General features: G+C 43.8%; 2 protein-coding genes across 14 annotated transcripts in view; one reads left to right on the top strand and one right to left on the bottom strand.

The window, feature by feature from the left end:
• OARD1 (O-acyl-ADP-ribose deacylase 1) overlaps positions 1–3325 on the top strand; it is a 33016-nt gene extending 29691 nt beyond the window's left edge. For 10 of the 13 annotated variants that reach the window (NM_001329690.2, NM_001329684.2, NM_001329689.2 and 7 more), the window contains one exon: positions 660–3325. In NM_001329690.2, the coding sequence (NP_001316619.1) occupies positions 660–677 (18 nt within the window). In that variant the 3' untranslated portion in view covers positions 678–3325. The remainder of the gene's footprint in view (positions 1–659) is intronic. The other 3 variants (NM_001329695.1, NM_001329692.1, NM_001329685.1) reach the window with 1 other exon arrangement.
• Positions 3206–14895, bottom strand: APOBEC2 (apolipoprotein B mRNA editing enzyme catalytic subunit 2). Its single transcript, NM_006789.4, has 3 exons — positions 14619–14895; positions 6205–6769; positions 3206–3996 (listed from the first exon to the last, which is right to left on the bottom strand). Exons 1-2 carry the CDS (start codon positions 14747–14749, stop codon positions 6226–6228), a joined length of 675 nt encoding a protein of 224 aa, NP_006780.1. The 5' UTR covers positions 14750–14895; the 3' UTR covers positions 3206–3996; positions 6205–6225.
• Between the last annotated feature and the right edge of the window lie 236 nt (positions 14896–15131).

Genomic DNA, 15131 nt, shown 5'->3' with positions numbered 1-15131 from the left:
TTTTTTTTAATCACAATTCCTTATGGACTTAATTATCACATTATGACATGAAATTACCAATTTTAGGTCTCTTTTTTCCCTAGGCGTGTTGAGGATCACTAGAGTAACATCTTGGAAGGTGCCAAGTAGTAGAGTTTTATGGACTGAGTTTATTCTTACCAGGGTGTTGCAAAGACCTTACTCCTGGATTGCAACTATCTTACCATTTCCCAGCATTCCCTCTTGACTTTCTTTTTTGCAGATCCTGTACCTCATTCCTCTTCTCCTTACTTTCGTTAACATTCTGTTACCATAAGTGCATTTTTAAAATACCAACCTTTCACCATCCATCCACAGCCAATTTTAGTCAGTAGTCATAGAGGGATAATGAGTCTCTAATGTCATGACAGTTACACATTTCTAAATGTAGCATGAAATAGTTGGAAAGTAGTATCTTATTAGGCAAACAGAAGTGATAGTTTTTGGATGTTAGAGCTGTCTAGGAATGGTCTTCGGTGACTCACAACAAGAATTGACTTCCAAACTCCTACCATGGTTGCCCATAAGGGTGTCAGACTAGATTATTTGTTTTTATGCTTTGAGTGGATATAGCTTAAAAGAGAGGAGCAGTTTCCTAGATACTTTCGTTACCATCAATGGAGATATTTTGTCTTTTTCAGGATTGGATGTGGTCTTGATCGTCTGCAATGGGAAAATGTATCTGCGATGATCGAGGAGGTATTTGAGGCAACAGACATCAAAATTACTGTGTACACACTCTGAACCAGTGAACATTTTGGATGTTTCCGTGTTCTCCTGTGTCATCTCTACTGGGCCATAGGACCGGGCAAACCTACCTTAAAATAGGCAGAGGAAAGTTTCATGAGAAGTAGTGTGTTTAACAAGACAGACTTTGGTTGCTGTATTCAAGTATTTGGATTATGACTGTGGAGGAGGGCTTGCTTAAGATATGTGGTTGTGTTTTTTTGTGGAAAAGTAAGGAGTTAGGTGGCTTGATAATAGGCAGGGAAACCAGATTGTCGGGACTATGACCTTTTTCTCCAGTATGCTACCTGATTTGTTTGGCTGGCCACTAGGTGGCAGCATTGGTTCTACTTCTCTGCTTTTTAAGAGAAATTTCAGGAAGGATGATCATTCCAGTTAGTTTGGCATTTTTTGTCGTTTGTGCACATAACTTGGTGTTATCCTTATGTCATCAGATTCCTCCTAGGGGAGAGTTTTTGTTTTAATTACAAAATTAAATTCTACATTGTTACCAAGAAATTTGTGGTGATAAAAATGGAAAAATAAAAATTTGGGGAGTTAGTGAGGTTCTGTGCTTATGTCTATTTGTTCTGGACATGGGTAATGGAGGGTTCACCTGCAACTTAATTTCAAACAGTCAGACAAAGGGTCCAAGCGGGAGGAGAAGCAAAGTGAGAAATAAGAGATAAAAATAGACAAGTCAAAAGGCAGGTTTTTAGAATCTCCTCATGGTGAACTTTTTCTCTCTTTTGTCCACTGCATGGTTTCTGTGATTGAACCTGCCTGAATTTAATCATGAAAACAAGTGAAATAATGTATGTTAAATGCCTGGCAGAGTACTTAGCACAGACTAGTGACCCAATAAATCAGTGATTGTCAAAAATCCTTATGAGTCTTCTTTAAAAAAATAAAGGCCACTTCCTCTCAAAAAATTCTCATACCTGTCATCTCAGCACTTTGAGAGGCTGAGACTGGAGGATGACTTGAGCCCAGGAGTTTGAGACAAACCTGGTTAACATAGCGAGACCCTGTCTCTACAAAAAAAAAAGAAATTAAAAATTAGCTGGGCCTGGTGGTGCAGGCCTGTAGTTCCAGCTACTCTAGAGGTTGAGGCGGGAGGATGGCTTGAGCCTGGGAGGTTGAAGTTGCATTGAGCTGTGATTGTGCCACTGCACTCCAGTGTGGGCAACAGAGCAAGACCCTATCTCAATTAAAAAAAAAAATTTGGTGGTGGAGTGGGATGGCCACTTTTGTGTTTTTAACCTCCATAGAAGATTTGGATGTGCAGCCAGCTGGGGTCTAAATATTAGTCCTCTTTTCTTCCGAAGCTGCAAAGACCAGTCGTCTATTGTGGTCATGGTAGGAAAATAAAGTTCATGGATTTAGCCAATGGTTCAGTATCAGAGCTATTCGGGAAACTAGACATTTTCTTGTTTTCCCTTACAGTGGTGTTGAGAGTTAAAACAGCCAGACTTGCTATTGATTTTCTCCCTAGAGTGACTTTGGGTCTGTCACAGGACTTGCTGCTTTCCCAAGTATAAAAGAACAACTGTATTTTAGAAGGGGCTGGTTAAAACACCAGGAAAGTACTGGTTAAATATAATCTTTGTACTTTAGACTGTGTTCTTATCACATATCAGCCTGATAAGAGGCAACAGTTTCAAAAAAGTATTTCACTTTTGTATTTCTAGGTGGAACAGACAAGTTCTTCATGTTGTTGGGGTAGGGGCAGTGGAGGGTCAAGTTCATTATCAAACTTTTAGATTGAGGCTTTTCTTGAAGCATTGCTTTTGTCCACATAAAGTTGAAGGGAAAAAGGAAGGAGAGATTATCTAAATACACAAAATTGAAAGTGAGAGTGGGGGATAAGAAACTTAAAGAAACTTAAAATATTTTGCTTAACTCTGCAATTACAGATGCTCCTCAACTTAGGTCTATGTCTGGGTAACCCCATCTTAAGTTGAGTTCAGTTGAAGGGTGTACTGAATGTGTATGGCTTTTGCACCGTTGTAAAGTCCAAAAATTGCAAGACAAACCATTGTAAATTGAGTACCATCTGTAAACCTTAACACAAGTCAAAACATGGATTTTCTAGGCTTCCTTTACTTTTAAAGAGATTATGGTTATTATTATTATTTTTTTCTTGGCGTTTGAGCCTTGATTCTTTAGACAAAACCTAGTCTCATTCAGGATTGGCTGTAAGTGGAATTCTGGGACTTAGCAGGAATGTGATAAAGCACTTTGTCATTTGCCGATAGTAGTCTTGGGTCAAATTCCGACGACTTATCACACTTGAAGCCTGAGGAAAGGAGGCATGCCCTGGTAATCAGAGTGAACACATTATTCCTGGAAACCTAGTTAGAGTTTGGCAAACACCCGGAAATTCACCTGTGAATTTTTGCTTCCACATAGGACTCAAACAAACCTTTAAAAAAAAAAAAAGAGAGACTTGACATCATCCTGCCATTACCATCAAACACCATGTATTGAATACTTTTAAATGATTGTATATCTGAACATTAAACTACTACTTTTCACCCGCTCCTCTCTAATAAAGAAGCTAGTTGCTTATTAACTGGCATTTGGGATGTGGCTACCTTAGATTTCTCATGCTTTTTGTTCCACCTTCTGCCCTATTACTTGCCTTCAGAGAAGGGAAAGGCCCTCACTTGATTGTCGTAAGAAGTCTGTATGGGAGAGTTATTCTGCATTGTCTAGGCAAGTCTTGGTTTAACCATGGCTTGGTTCATAGCCTGGAGTGTCCCTGTGTCTGGACTAGCTCGCTTGTCTGTGGCAACTTCCAGATGTTCAAGTTTCTTAAAAATCTGGCCACGGGAAAAACACACCACTTCTTTTATTAATGTTGCTGTTTTTCTTTTTTTAAAAAAATACCCAACTTAACATAAAATGCATATTTCAGAAATCTAAACCTCGGGTCTGAGGCTGTTTGTGTTAAGCAGCCCCCTTGGGTGAGCAATTAGGACCTTCAGTCCCATAGTTGACTGGAGCCCATGTATGGTTGCATTTCTCTCCTTGCAGGTCACTTTCGTCCTTCCCGAGAGCAGCATTAGAGAGAGAGTCACAGCCTAAATAAACTACAGCATGAGAAGTATATTTCAAGTCCTCTAAGGGCCTTGTCCAGTATGATTGGTTGGTGTCAAATGTTGTCCAGCTCCAAATGGTATTAGGAAGACAGGCATGTCCCAGATGGCTGTACATGTCATTGCTGTCTCTTGGTGGCAGCAGGAATACCTTGGTAAAACAAACAAAGAAAATGTGTTACTGAGAGCTCTGCTGGCCCCGAACAATGACTAGTTTCTTTTTGAACTAAGGTTTCTGTGTGCCCTTCCCAACAAGTCCCTGGATTTCTCCTCCATAGTTTCCTTTGCAGGATTGGGTAAATTTACCAGGATTGACTAAACCAGAAGCCAGTCTTTCGTTCATGTTTTGATGTGGTTTACACAGAAAAAGCCCCAGAAGAGATCTGGTTTAACTCTGGTCTTTTGACTAAATATAGGATTAAATACTATTTTGTCATTAAAAAAAAAAAAAAGAAAGATGAAATAAGTATGTAAAATAAGACACTTTATTTAACAAATGCTCATTTCTCAAGATTATTTTAATTAAGCAGGGTTGTTCTTTTGGGCTTTTAGATTACACTCTTATCTCATGCCAGTTTTTTTTTTTTTAACTTGATATATCTTAACCTTTCCCTTCACAAACATGAGCAATTCAAATAGAAGACAGGGAAGCATGTTAATGGGTCCAGATAATACAGTTATATTTGAAATCACTGAAAAAAAAAAAAAAAAAAAAAAGCTCTAAGGACTTGCTAGTTAGGCACCTGGGCCCTTGACTCTGAAAGATGTCTGAAAGGAAAATATACTGGGGTTAAATTTTAAGCTGCCGGTTAGTCTGTAGAATCTATGTTGGGTTTATAATTACAGTGATAGTACATACACTAACAAAATCTTCAAGGAATTCTAAAAGTTAAATTTTATATTCTCAGAGGGCACCCTCAGAAATCTGTTTTGACTACTGTTCACCACTATAAAGTGTCTTATTTTATGTGAGCAGAGTACCACACAGTATACCCTATCATAGGCTCACTGACTTCAGTGACTGGGTCCTGCTTTTTAAAAGAAATGGCTGAAAGTTGTATCTTCATGGGTTGGCAAATGCTCAGCTTGAGAATGATCAGGTGCCCATGTGCATGTCTAATAGAAAACACCTGCCAACATCAAGCTCTGGAACATTGATATTTCCTAAACGTGTCTATGAAGCGACATCTTCTCTTAAGGGTGTTAGGAGTGAGAGAGACCAAAAGTAAATTATCTTCATGGAAGCTTGTTGTTTTCATGTTTTAGTAATATGTGAGTTGTTGCAGGATTAAAGTTGGGTAAGAGTGTCGTGAGTACCCCTCCTCTATTACTGGAAGATTTTGATCAGTAACTGGGGCCTTGCAAAGGGGGCTTCGTCATAGCATTTCTGTAGGCGCAAACTCAATCAGACTAAATGTAAAAAAGATAGTAAAGGATCCTTTAGCCCTCTTTCCTGAGGGTAATTAGCCTGTTTCTGTTAGAGTTTAATTTACCCTCAGCAAGAGGCCAAATTGGCCTTAATTGTGTCCTAATTATTTGCTTAAATAGCTAATCTTTCTCCTATCACCTCTTGATATCTGTAAGAGGTTACTTCTGAGCTGCTGCCTACTTTACAAATGTCTTTTTAACTCTTTAAATGTTCCTGCATGGACTAGCTTGTTGCTATATTATCCCCATTCCTGCATTCGACATCCTCCATGAATTCTACTGAGGTCTTCTCAACATAAGGAAAATGTTCCCGTATTGTATTTTCACACAGCAATTGTTGGTCTCCTTCAAAGTGTAGCCATTTGTTTGAAAACATGAAAGCAGGTCTGGCTTAAAACAAGTTAAATACCAGTCCATTTGGGGAATTTCAAAATTACCATAAGTGAAAAAATTGTCCCTGAAGGACTAAAAAACATTCATTAGAGAAAAATGGAATGGTAAGATTGCCAGTGGATATGGGAGTGAGGCATCTAGAAGATGTCTGGAATTAGTAATCCCTGACATGTACACAGGGGCATACTCAGAGGATTTCAGTATCTTCTCTGCTGTGGTTCAGTAGCAGGTGCTTGCACCATCTAAATCTTACCAAAGAACGTCATCTTGCCTCATGAAAGTTTTAGGATTCCTGTCAACCTTGAGTATTCTAAGTTAGGGGAAAGTTACTTTGATACAAAAGTGTGGGAGGGAAAAGTTTAGAGAGGGATTCAGAGGAAAGAGACATGTTCTAAACTATTTTTGCAACCAGTCAAAAGCAGAGAAATGAAACCCTTCCAAAGGAAAATCAGACATATCACAGATTCTACCTGACCTCACACCTTCTACTGGAGTTAACATAATAAAGTGTTGGTGCCATGGCACCAGGAAAACTCACGTGAGGCAAAGCCCAGTTGCCCTACTTCAGGATGTCTGCCAACTTCTCCTCGTAGTATAGGAAGTTCTCCTGAATGTCCTCCCAGGGCTGAAAGGCCTTGGATTCACCCTCTTCTTGCTCCACAAAATTCTGCCAGACATATTCGAAGTCCTGGGGCTTCATGATGCGCAGTTTACAGCCAGCCTCCTTCAGCTTCTTCAGAGCAGCCTGGATCTCCGGCTCCTCCCACATGAAGAGTCGACCCACCAGAATGAGCAGACGCAGGTTCTTGGTCTTGCTAAGGGTTTTGATAATGCGGTCAGCACACGCTGCACAGGGGCTGGAGGACACATACCAGGTGACATTGTACCGCAGGGCTGGGTCGAAGGCTGGCAGGATGGTGTTGAAGAAAGCTTCCTCTGCATGGGCAGCCGCATGCTCATCCTCTAGGTATCCCCGAGATGCCTGCACTTGGCCCCCCTTGCCCTGTGCTTCAACCACATAGCAGAGGAAGGTCTTGTTCCTCCCGGAACTGTACTCCACATTCCGGAACTGGAATTTAAAGAAGTTGGCAGGCAGCCGTTCTCTGTAGGTCAAGGAGACAAAAGGACAGGAAAGAATGATAAGTTCTTGTTTCTAGAACCAGCCTAGAGTAGGTAGCTCTTCCAGGTCAGTACTTCAGAAATGCATTCACTCTTACTATAAATAGGTCTTGTCTGTGGTAACATCAGTGACAAAAAAAAAAAAAAAAAAAAAAGCATTAAAAAATCCAGAAGGGTTTATCTGAAGGAGAGGAGAATTTGGACTGAGGTGTGCATTTTGGTCACCCTACTAGGACATTGTCTCCACCATCACTCTTCCAGCACAACATACCCCTACATTTCTAAATCACTGAATCTTTAACCTGCCTATACCTTAGAATCACCTAGAAGACTGAGAATGTCAGTGCCTGGGCCTCATGCCAAACCAATTAAATCAGAACATGTGGAGAGGTGGTCCAAGCATCAGTATTTTTAAAAAGCTCTCTGGATGATTCCAATAAGTGGCCAGGTAAGTAGCAAGCATATAAAATTTCTCATGACAGAGCAAAACAAAGATTTTGCAGAGCATTTTATGCTTTTTTCTCTTCCTTGTAACTCATGTAAATTGCATCTTGGCATGAAATGGCCTAAAACTTGCAATAACATGCTCTCCTTCTCAAGTGACTACTTCTCAAGTCTGTTTACTTTCAGGTAAAGGGATTGTCACATGCTAAGTGTCCAAGAATTTTTATCTGTGAGGACAGACTACTCAAGGGTATCTTGGGATAGTTAAGCCTGTATTTAGTATTGAGTCACCTCCAAATCTTAAAGGACTTGGTCTCTGCCCTCCAGATGCTTATAATTTAGCAGCTAGATTGCAGCTGGACAGAGAAGATGTAAATAAAACAGCTGAGAACATTATAAGACTGCTAAAATTGGATAGGTACAGTAAAGGAAGTATTATGAAGGTTCTCGAAAGTTTGGCCTTGATTCGGGAGGCAGTAGAGAATTGTTACAGGTTCTTGAGAAGGAAAACAATAAAAATGATGTCCATGCAAGATTACAGTCTTGGCAATAGGCAGATAGTGTGAAGCTGAGGAAAAGCCTCAAATTGAACAAGTCCAGTAGGTATCTTAGGACACTAAACTTGGTGATGAATTGTGTGGGTGCCTTTGAGGAGGAGATGGATGGTTAGGAAATGAAAACAGCAGGAAAAGTCCAGGAATTTTGAAAATTTTGGTAATAACAAGGAGAAGAAAAAAGAGAAGGGCCAGAGAAGACATCAGAGTTGAAGATTGTTTTTACTTTTATGTGTATGTGTGTGTTTTTCTAAAATAGGCAAGATTTGTTCAAGTTTGAAGTCCAAAGAAAATGAATTTTTAATAGGAGAGATGAAAAATGTCAAGAGAGGAGGAGATGAGTACCAGCTAGAAAGATTCAATGTTTTCCTTTTTAAAAATGTAATCTCTCTGCCTGCCCCAAGAGATACCTATGGCACCATTAATTCTACTATTGCCTGTCTCCACCTCTTCTCTTTCCCCAAAGAAGTCAACAGACTCCCTGGGCTGCAGGGGAATCCCTGGTATCCCAGGGCCTTGGCTGCCTAGGGATGAGCAGCAGATGCCAAAGATATGAGTAAACTTGACTTATTTCCCTGCAGGATTCCCTCACCCCCACCCATCACCAAAATGTATCCACCCAAGTTTCCATGTCCCGTGCTGTCAGGTTCATTTTCCACTGTGGAGATGGATGTGTTTGAGGACCCAGCCCCAGGATTCCATCAGGTACTATACTTAGCTCTCTAAGCCCCTGTGTCCCTAGTTGGAGGTGTTTATTGTTTACTTAACATTTTAGGAGAATGGATCGCCTGATGTTTCCCTGCTCCTCTTCTCAATCCCTGTCAGGCGTTCACTTATAGTGAGTGCTCCCCAAAGGTACTCACCCCACCAGACCACTCCTCAACTTTACCAGTTGCCAAATGGTCCCTTCACTTCCTGGAGTGGCTTTTTGCTTTTGAGAAGCTCAGAGCTTACCGTTCCTGCCCAAACTTGCTCTTCAAGACCTTTTGCCCCACTCCCCAAGTCTAATCCAGGGCCACCTATATGATGGATTATCAGGTGGAACCCTGGCAAGTATTCATGGCTACTCAAATAGCTTGGAAGCTTAAACAGTAGCTGCTGTGTGGTCCCTCTTTTCCTTCTGGAGCTCCCTATAGCTCAGCTGAAAGTATGAATTTAGGCCAGTGTGAATTTGGCCCAGCATGCAATTGCAAATTGGCTTTGATGGTTGTGAGGTGACTGTTTCTTTCTGCCCTTCTTAAGCTCTGACATTTTCCCCTCCTCCTCTTCCCTAGGCAAGAGGAGAAGACCCAAAGAAACCTGAAACCCAAGGGAGAGGAAGAAAGGTCATCTCTCTATAAATACGGGTTTCCAACCCCTCTGGCCAGCAGCCCTAGAATCTACTCTGTCCCTCAGCAGGGCCTTCTGGACTAGATGCCTCAGGAAAAGAAGTGCTTTCAAGGAGCAAAGGAAAGGCAGGGAAGGTTTGGTTCCTAGTCGTTCCCTTGGGCTTGCTCAGAGACTAAACTTGCTTGATTTCTGAATGGGTTTCTTGGTCTTCTAGAAGGAGCAAAAAGGTCAGATGAGATTCTTTAGGCCTCTCACAGACCGAAATAGCTACGTCCTGGGGGGAAACCAGGAGAACAGAGGTAGTAGAAGTCTGGAATTTCTCCAGGGAACTAGACAACATGGCCATCTTGGGCAATTTTGTAGACTCACAGAATAAATTAACACTATTATGCCCACTAGTGGAAGGAAGGAAATAATGACACCTAACTTGTTAAATCATCACCAGCAGTTTTTTTTAAGTAGCATGATAGGCCTAAGTATCATATTTAACTATAGCCCTTTACATTTAACCCAGAAAATATTTTACTGGTAAAGGGGTGGGGGTGTGTGTGTGTGTGAGTGTGTGTGTGTGTGTGTGTGTGTGTGGTGGGGTGGTGTTGGTGGGTGGTGGTCAGTAGAGAGATGCTGGTAGTAGATTTCTTTCCCTGATCCAGTCACTTCCTCATGCGTAGAAACCTGTGTGTGTGTGTGTGTGTGTGGGTGTGTGGTGGGGTGGTGGTGGTGGGTGGTGGTCAGTAGAGAGATGCTGGTAGTAGATTTCTTTCCCTGATCCAGTCACTTCCTCATGCGTAGAAACGTGTGTGTGTGTGTGTGTGTGTGTGTGTGTGTGTGTGGGGTGGGGTGGTGGTGGTGGGTGGTGGTCAGGAGAGAGATGCTGGTAGTAGATTTCTTTCCCTGATCCAGTCACTTCCTCATGCGTAGAAACCTACAGCCTGATTTCTATTCCCTCTCCCCAGCCTCTGATAGCACCTTGTTAAGCACCATTTCCTCATACTTTCTCCAAACAAGACCAGTCACACTTCATCTGCTTAGACCCAGGCTACTGGACATTTCAGTTCACTTGGGAGGAAACAGAGAGTCCAAATATCTAGAAAAAAAATTGGGAAGATAATCTGCTTGATGGAGGGAGAAGGGATGTGAGTAAATGTAATACATTTTTCTCAGGTTCACATTCAAAACGTTTGAATTTTCTAAGCGTAAATCTATACTGTGAAAGGAAGCAACCCAGAGGGCAGTTGAAGCTGGACTGAGATTAAACATTTGCTCCAGAATAATCCATGAGTGGAAAAATCTACTCATAGGTAATTATGTGTTGACTTGTTTCAGCTTTCCCTCACTAGACCTGTTGGTGACTGGCGTGAAAGAGGGAGGATTGCTGGTTTCATTGGCCTTCTGCTTTCTCAGACCACTTTTCAAAGCGGATACCAAGGAGTGGGCATAATCAGAAAGAGTAGTAAGAGCAGGAGCAGAGGGTTCTAGCAGCCTGACTCCCTAGAGCTGAGAAGGGAACTCCAGACTGTGGGACTGGATGGGATTTTGCCCAAGGGAAACCCTGAACTTGCCTGTTTTCCCTGGTAGGCATGGTCTTCACACCTGAGCTTTGACCTGCCCCCAACCCTCTGTGGAAGGCAGGTTGGCCAGAGTCAGTGCGCTGCCTTCTCTTCTTGGTGACACACCACCCAGCGTGCTCCAGAGGCCAGGGTGAGGGTAAAGGGCTGTGGCTGGTGTTAACTGGTGTCGAAGTCCCCTCACTCCTTATCTCACCCTTCTCCTCTGGACACTGCCTCTCTGTGTTCCTTACATGGCTAGAGTAAACTACTGGTAGCTAAAGAAGTGGTTAGAAGAAGAATCACTCTGTGTGCCATTTATCTTTGTTCCATAATAATCCCTGGGATAGGAGGTTCTGCTTTCTGTAAAAACATATACAACATAACTAGAGACAAAGCCAAGCTCACATCAAGGGTGCTGCCAGGCAGAGCCACAGTCACTTCTCACTGGGTTGGAAAGCTGGGGAGACAACCAGCTCTCGTGCCCCAGAGCTCTACTAAAACGTGCTGTGTCCAGAAGCAGGCATGAGCCAGGGGAATTCTTACCTAAATCTAGTGTTGCTGGATCGTCATACACCCTGAGCTGCTGTCCTCAAGAAACCCTCCCCCAGTTCATTCCCTGTCTTGTCTGACAGAGAGCCTAAGAACCACCCAAAAGGTTCTTATTCATTAGGTCATTCATTTATTCAACAAATACGTATTGAGTACCTATCAGGAGCTAGGTGCTAAAGATAAAGCAGTGAAAAAGACAAAGTGCTGTCCTCATAGAGGTTAAATACTAACAGGGGAAACAGGCAGTAAATGAAAAACTCTTATTCAGTAAATATAAAAAGAATCCTCTCTGGTTTTTTGGATGCAGTGTGATGATTTGGAGTCAGACAGTCCTGGGGTTCACATCCTACTCCATCAACAAGCTTTGGCCATATGACTTAATCCCTCTGAGGCTTAGTTTCCTCACCTGAAAGAGTGAGTAATCTAACTTCTAAGGTTTTGGACAACAGTAGACACTCAAAGCTAGTCTGGGCACAGTGGCCCACGCCAATAGTCCCAGCACTTTGGGAGGCTGAGGCATGAGGATTGCTTGAAGCCAGGAGTTTGAGAGCAGCCTGGGCAACACAGTCAGAACCCATCTCTATAAAAATACAAAGATTAGCTGGGCGTGGTGGCATGCACCTGTAGTCTTAGCTACTTGGGAGGCTGAGGCAGGAAGATCACCTGAGCCCGGGAGGTTGCGACGACAGTGAGCTGTGATTGCACCACTGCACTCCATCCTGGGCAACAGAGCAAGAAGCAAGACCCCATCTCCAAAAAAGAAAAAGGAAATTGATGTATGATACATATGATGCCTTCTCCAGGCCTCAAATTGTATCCTTCAGAGCTCCGTCTTAAGCATTACCAAACCTGATCCCTTTCCCACTGCTCTTCCTCTCACTTTCAGAGGTTTCTGGTTTTCAATGGTGTGCTGATAAGTGTAACACTCATCTCTCTGATAGAAGGAAGAATCCCCAATTTCTAAAGTTTGCTGATTTCCATAAGGTAAGTACTCCCATTACAGAGATTTCAAGCTCCCGAGGTGATATCACTGGATGCAGAGTAGGGAAGAGACTTGTGAACCAACAGGAACTGGCTTCAGCACGCTACGGCAGGCTTAGGCCCTTTTCCAGAACATTCTACCATGTTATTTTGTTAATGTGCTCAGTTCCGCTTTCTATCCTGAATGCCCTATTCAACCAGAATCGCTATGAGCTGGGCATCTCTCCTTCCTACCAGCTACCCTCCTCATGTCGGACTGTTTCCGGAAAAGCTACCTGCTCTTCTGCTAGTTTTTGGCCCAAATATAAGGAGCACTAAAGATCTTCCCTATAGGAGACCAGGCTAGAAAAGCTGCTTTGCTGACCCCCTTGACTCCAGGAGGGAGTCCTGGGGGGAATGCATCTCAAGAGGGAAGGAGAGGAAAGCTATTCCCTCACCCTCTCCCTGCACAGACCCAGCTGCACCTCTGGGCTATTTTAAGCCATCTGTTTACCCAGAGGGGCCCAGGAGACAGCTCTCTACAGCTGTTACTTGTGGCCAGGAAACACTCAGCGCTCTGCTCCCACCTGAACTGTTCACAGAATGCTCAGAACGTTGCCCCTTCTGTGCCCCTTTTTCTGAGCCTTGGGTCCTCACTACCTCCCAGATAGAGATAACGTGGAGCTCTGGGAAACCTGGGATCCAGAATGAATAAGAAACCAGTAGAAAGGATACTTTGCTGGGAGTAAGAAGATGTGCCACCTACCAGTTCTGTGGTTTTGGACATACCATTCAATCTCTCTGAGTCTCAGTTTCCCCCTCTGTAAAGTGGCAATAATATATCTCCCTCTCCTACCTTTGTGCTGAGTGTTGAATGGTCTCATGTTCATGAAACTATGTTGTGATTATAAAGCCCTGGACAAATGTAAGTTATATCAGTGGACTTAACCCTTCAGGATCCATTGCTCTGGGACCCCCAAAGCATGTTCAGCTGAACAAACATAGTCTAATTCTGTTCTTGACCTACCCTCCCTCTGTGTTGGAAAGCCACACAAGAGTGTAGTGTGCACACGCGTGTGTGTATGACTAAGGATAGCGTATACCAGCATGCTTAGGTGTTAGAAAAAGGCTCTCCTTCCATAAGAAAGCCACTGGAATTGAGGACTCTCCTGGCCAGGCTGCCTTAGGCTTTCCCTGTGTCTATATTAATCTGTGCCCAGCTGCTCCCTTAATCCTAGGATGAGGGTGAGATTAGTTGGGTGGGCATGGGCAAATGGAAATTCAGGGGCTACTCTTGCCTCAGGAAATAGGATGCATTTTCCCTTAGGTTCTCTTGAAAATCAGAAAACATCTGAGCTGGAAGGGACCTTACTACTATAGATCTTCATGTTATAAGTGCTAAAACTGTGGCTGACTGGAAAATCACTTGTCAAGCTTGAAATATCAAGTCCAAATTGCCACTCAGGGCTTCCTTTCCCCCTTGAAAGCATCATGCCTCCTTTCTTCCTGAAACTTCTCTTAGTCTCGCACCCACTCTGCCTGTGGTCATTCCTGGAGACCCCATGAAGGGAACGTTTGGTTCAAGGAGGAAATATGGCCTCATAGATTCTCTTTTTATTCTTTGCTCAGGATTTAGAAGGGTCTTCCACTACAGGAATAGAAAGGGAAGAGGAAGAAGACTACTTAGTTTTATTCCTGGAGATGGCATAATCTGGATAAGACAGAGGTACCCTGCACACAGCCCCCTCCTTGCAGTCTGTAGACCCTTTTCTTTGGGTCCCAGTTCCTCCAGGCAATGCCTGAGCATGTTGGAACAGCTCCTGTGTCCATAAGCTCCTGGGCTGCGTTATCTGCATGTAATTTCTCTGTTTCTCTGTGGGACAGCCCCTGAGGAGACTCAAAAGATTTAATAAGAAAAAAGCTGCTTCTGAGTCTTGGGAAAGGATGGATCTATCTTTCCTGTCTTGGGAGCATCTACTCCAGGAAGAAGCTCTAAAGAAAGGGCTAGAGGCCTATGGCTAGCGGAGAGACCCACTCAGGAACAGAGAAGTTGAGGGGAAGGGTTGCTTTGAACGGAGCCACATATAGATGTGCCAGTCTCATCCTCTGTCCTCGCCAAACTCCCTGGGACTAAGCTTCTACCCAGAGAGGCAGGTGGCCATCCCAATACCAGGAGGCCTGAAGGGTGGTTTTATTCTCTGGGCTTTTGCCTCCAAGGAGCTCCTCCTACCTCTCCCTGATTAGAGAGCCCAAGGTGTCACCCTGAGAAGCCAAGAGAATTTGCTGCTGGGTCCCCTACCACCCCTGCCGGGCCCACTGGTGCACTCTCACTGCTGCAGGGTTGTAGCTGTCCCTGACGCCTAATATAACCATCCTGAATTTCCACAGCCTAACCCAAGGCTGCACTCTTCTAGGGAGCAGAACCCTGACCCACATCTGAGGCTTACCCTGTGACAATCTCAAAGGGCGGCAGCTCAATCAGCTCTTTCAGCTTCTCAGGGTCGTCCAGGTTCTCCAGATCCTCCCCATTCTGGGAGGCAGCCTCAGTGGCCACAGCAGCCTCTTCCTTCTGGGCCATGGAGGGGCTGTGGCTCAGGAGTCACTGAGGGAGAGGAGAGAGGCAGGCAGGTCTGGGCCAGGCCCTGGCGGCAGAGTCCCAAGCAGCTGTCAGCAGCTAAATCTGGCTGGGGATGACGGGAAAAGGACCCAGCAGGCCAGGCTTCGTGCTTTCCCCACTTAGCCACAGGCTTTATAGCCAAGGCCTCCTGCCCCTCCCCCAGGCTCTCTCCCTCTATCTTTTTTTAATTGAGTGACAGCGGGTGCTGGGGTGGGGGAATGGAAAATCTGGCCATTAGTATCCCCTATTTATCAGTAGGCAAAGACAGGAACCTGGCAGGTGGGTATGGCTTGGCCTGCTCTCTTCTCCCTCTCCCTCTCAGCTCACCTTATGTTCTCCCCTT

This window comes from Homo sapiens, chromosome 6 (assembly GCF_000001405.40).
Source record: "Homo sapiens chromosome 6, GRCh38.p14 Primary Assembly".
In the NCBI taxonomy this organism is placed as follows: Eukaryota; Metazoa; Chordata; class Mammalia; order Primates; family Hominidae; genus Homo; species Homo sapiens.
This window is presented reverse-complemented; position numbering and strand designations above follow the sequence as displayed.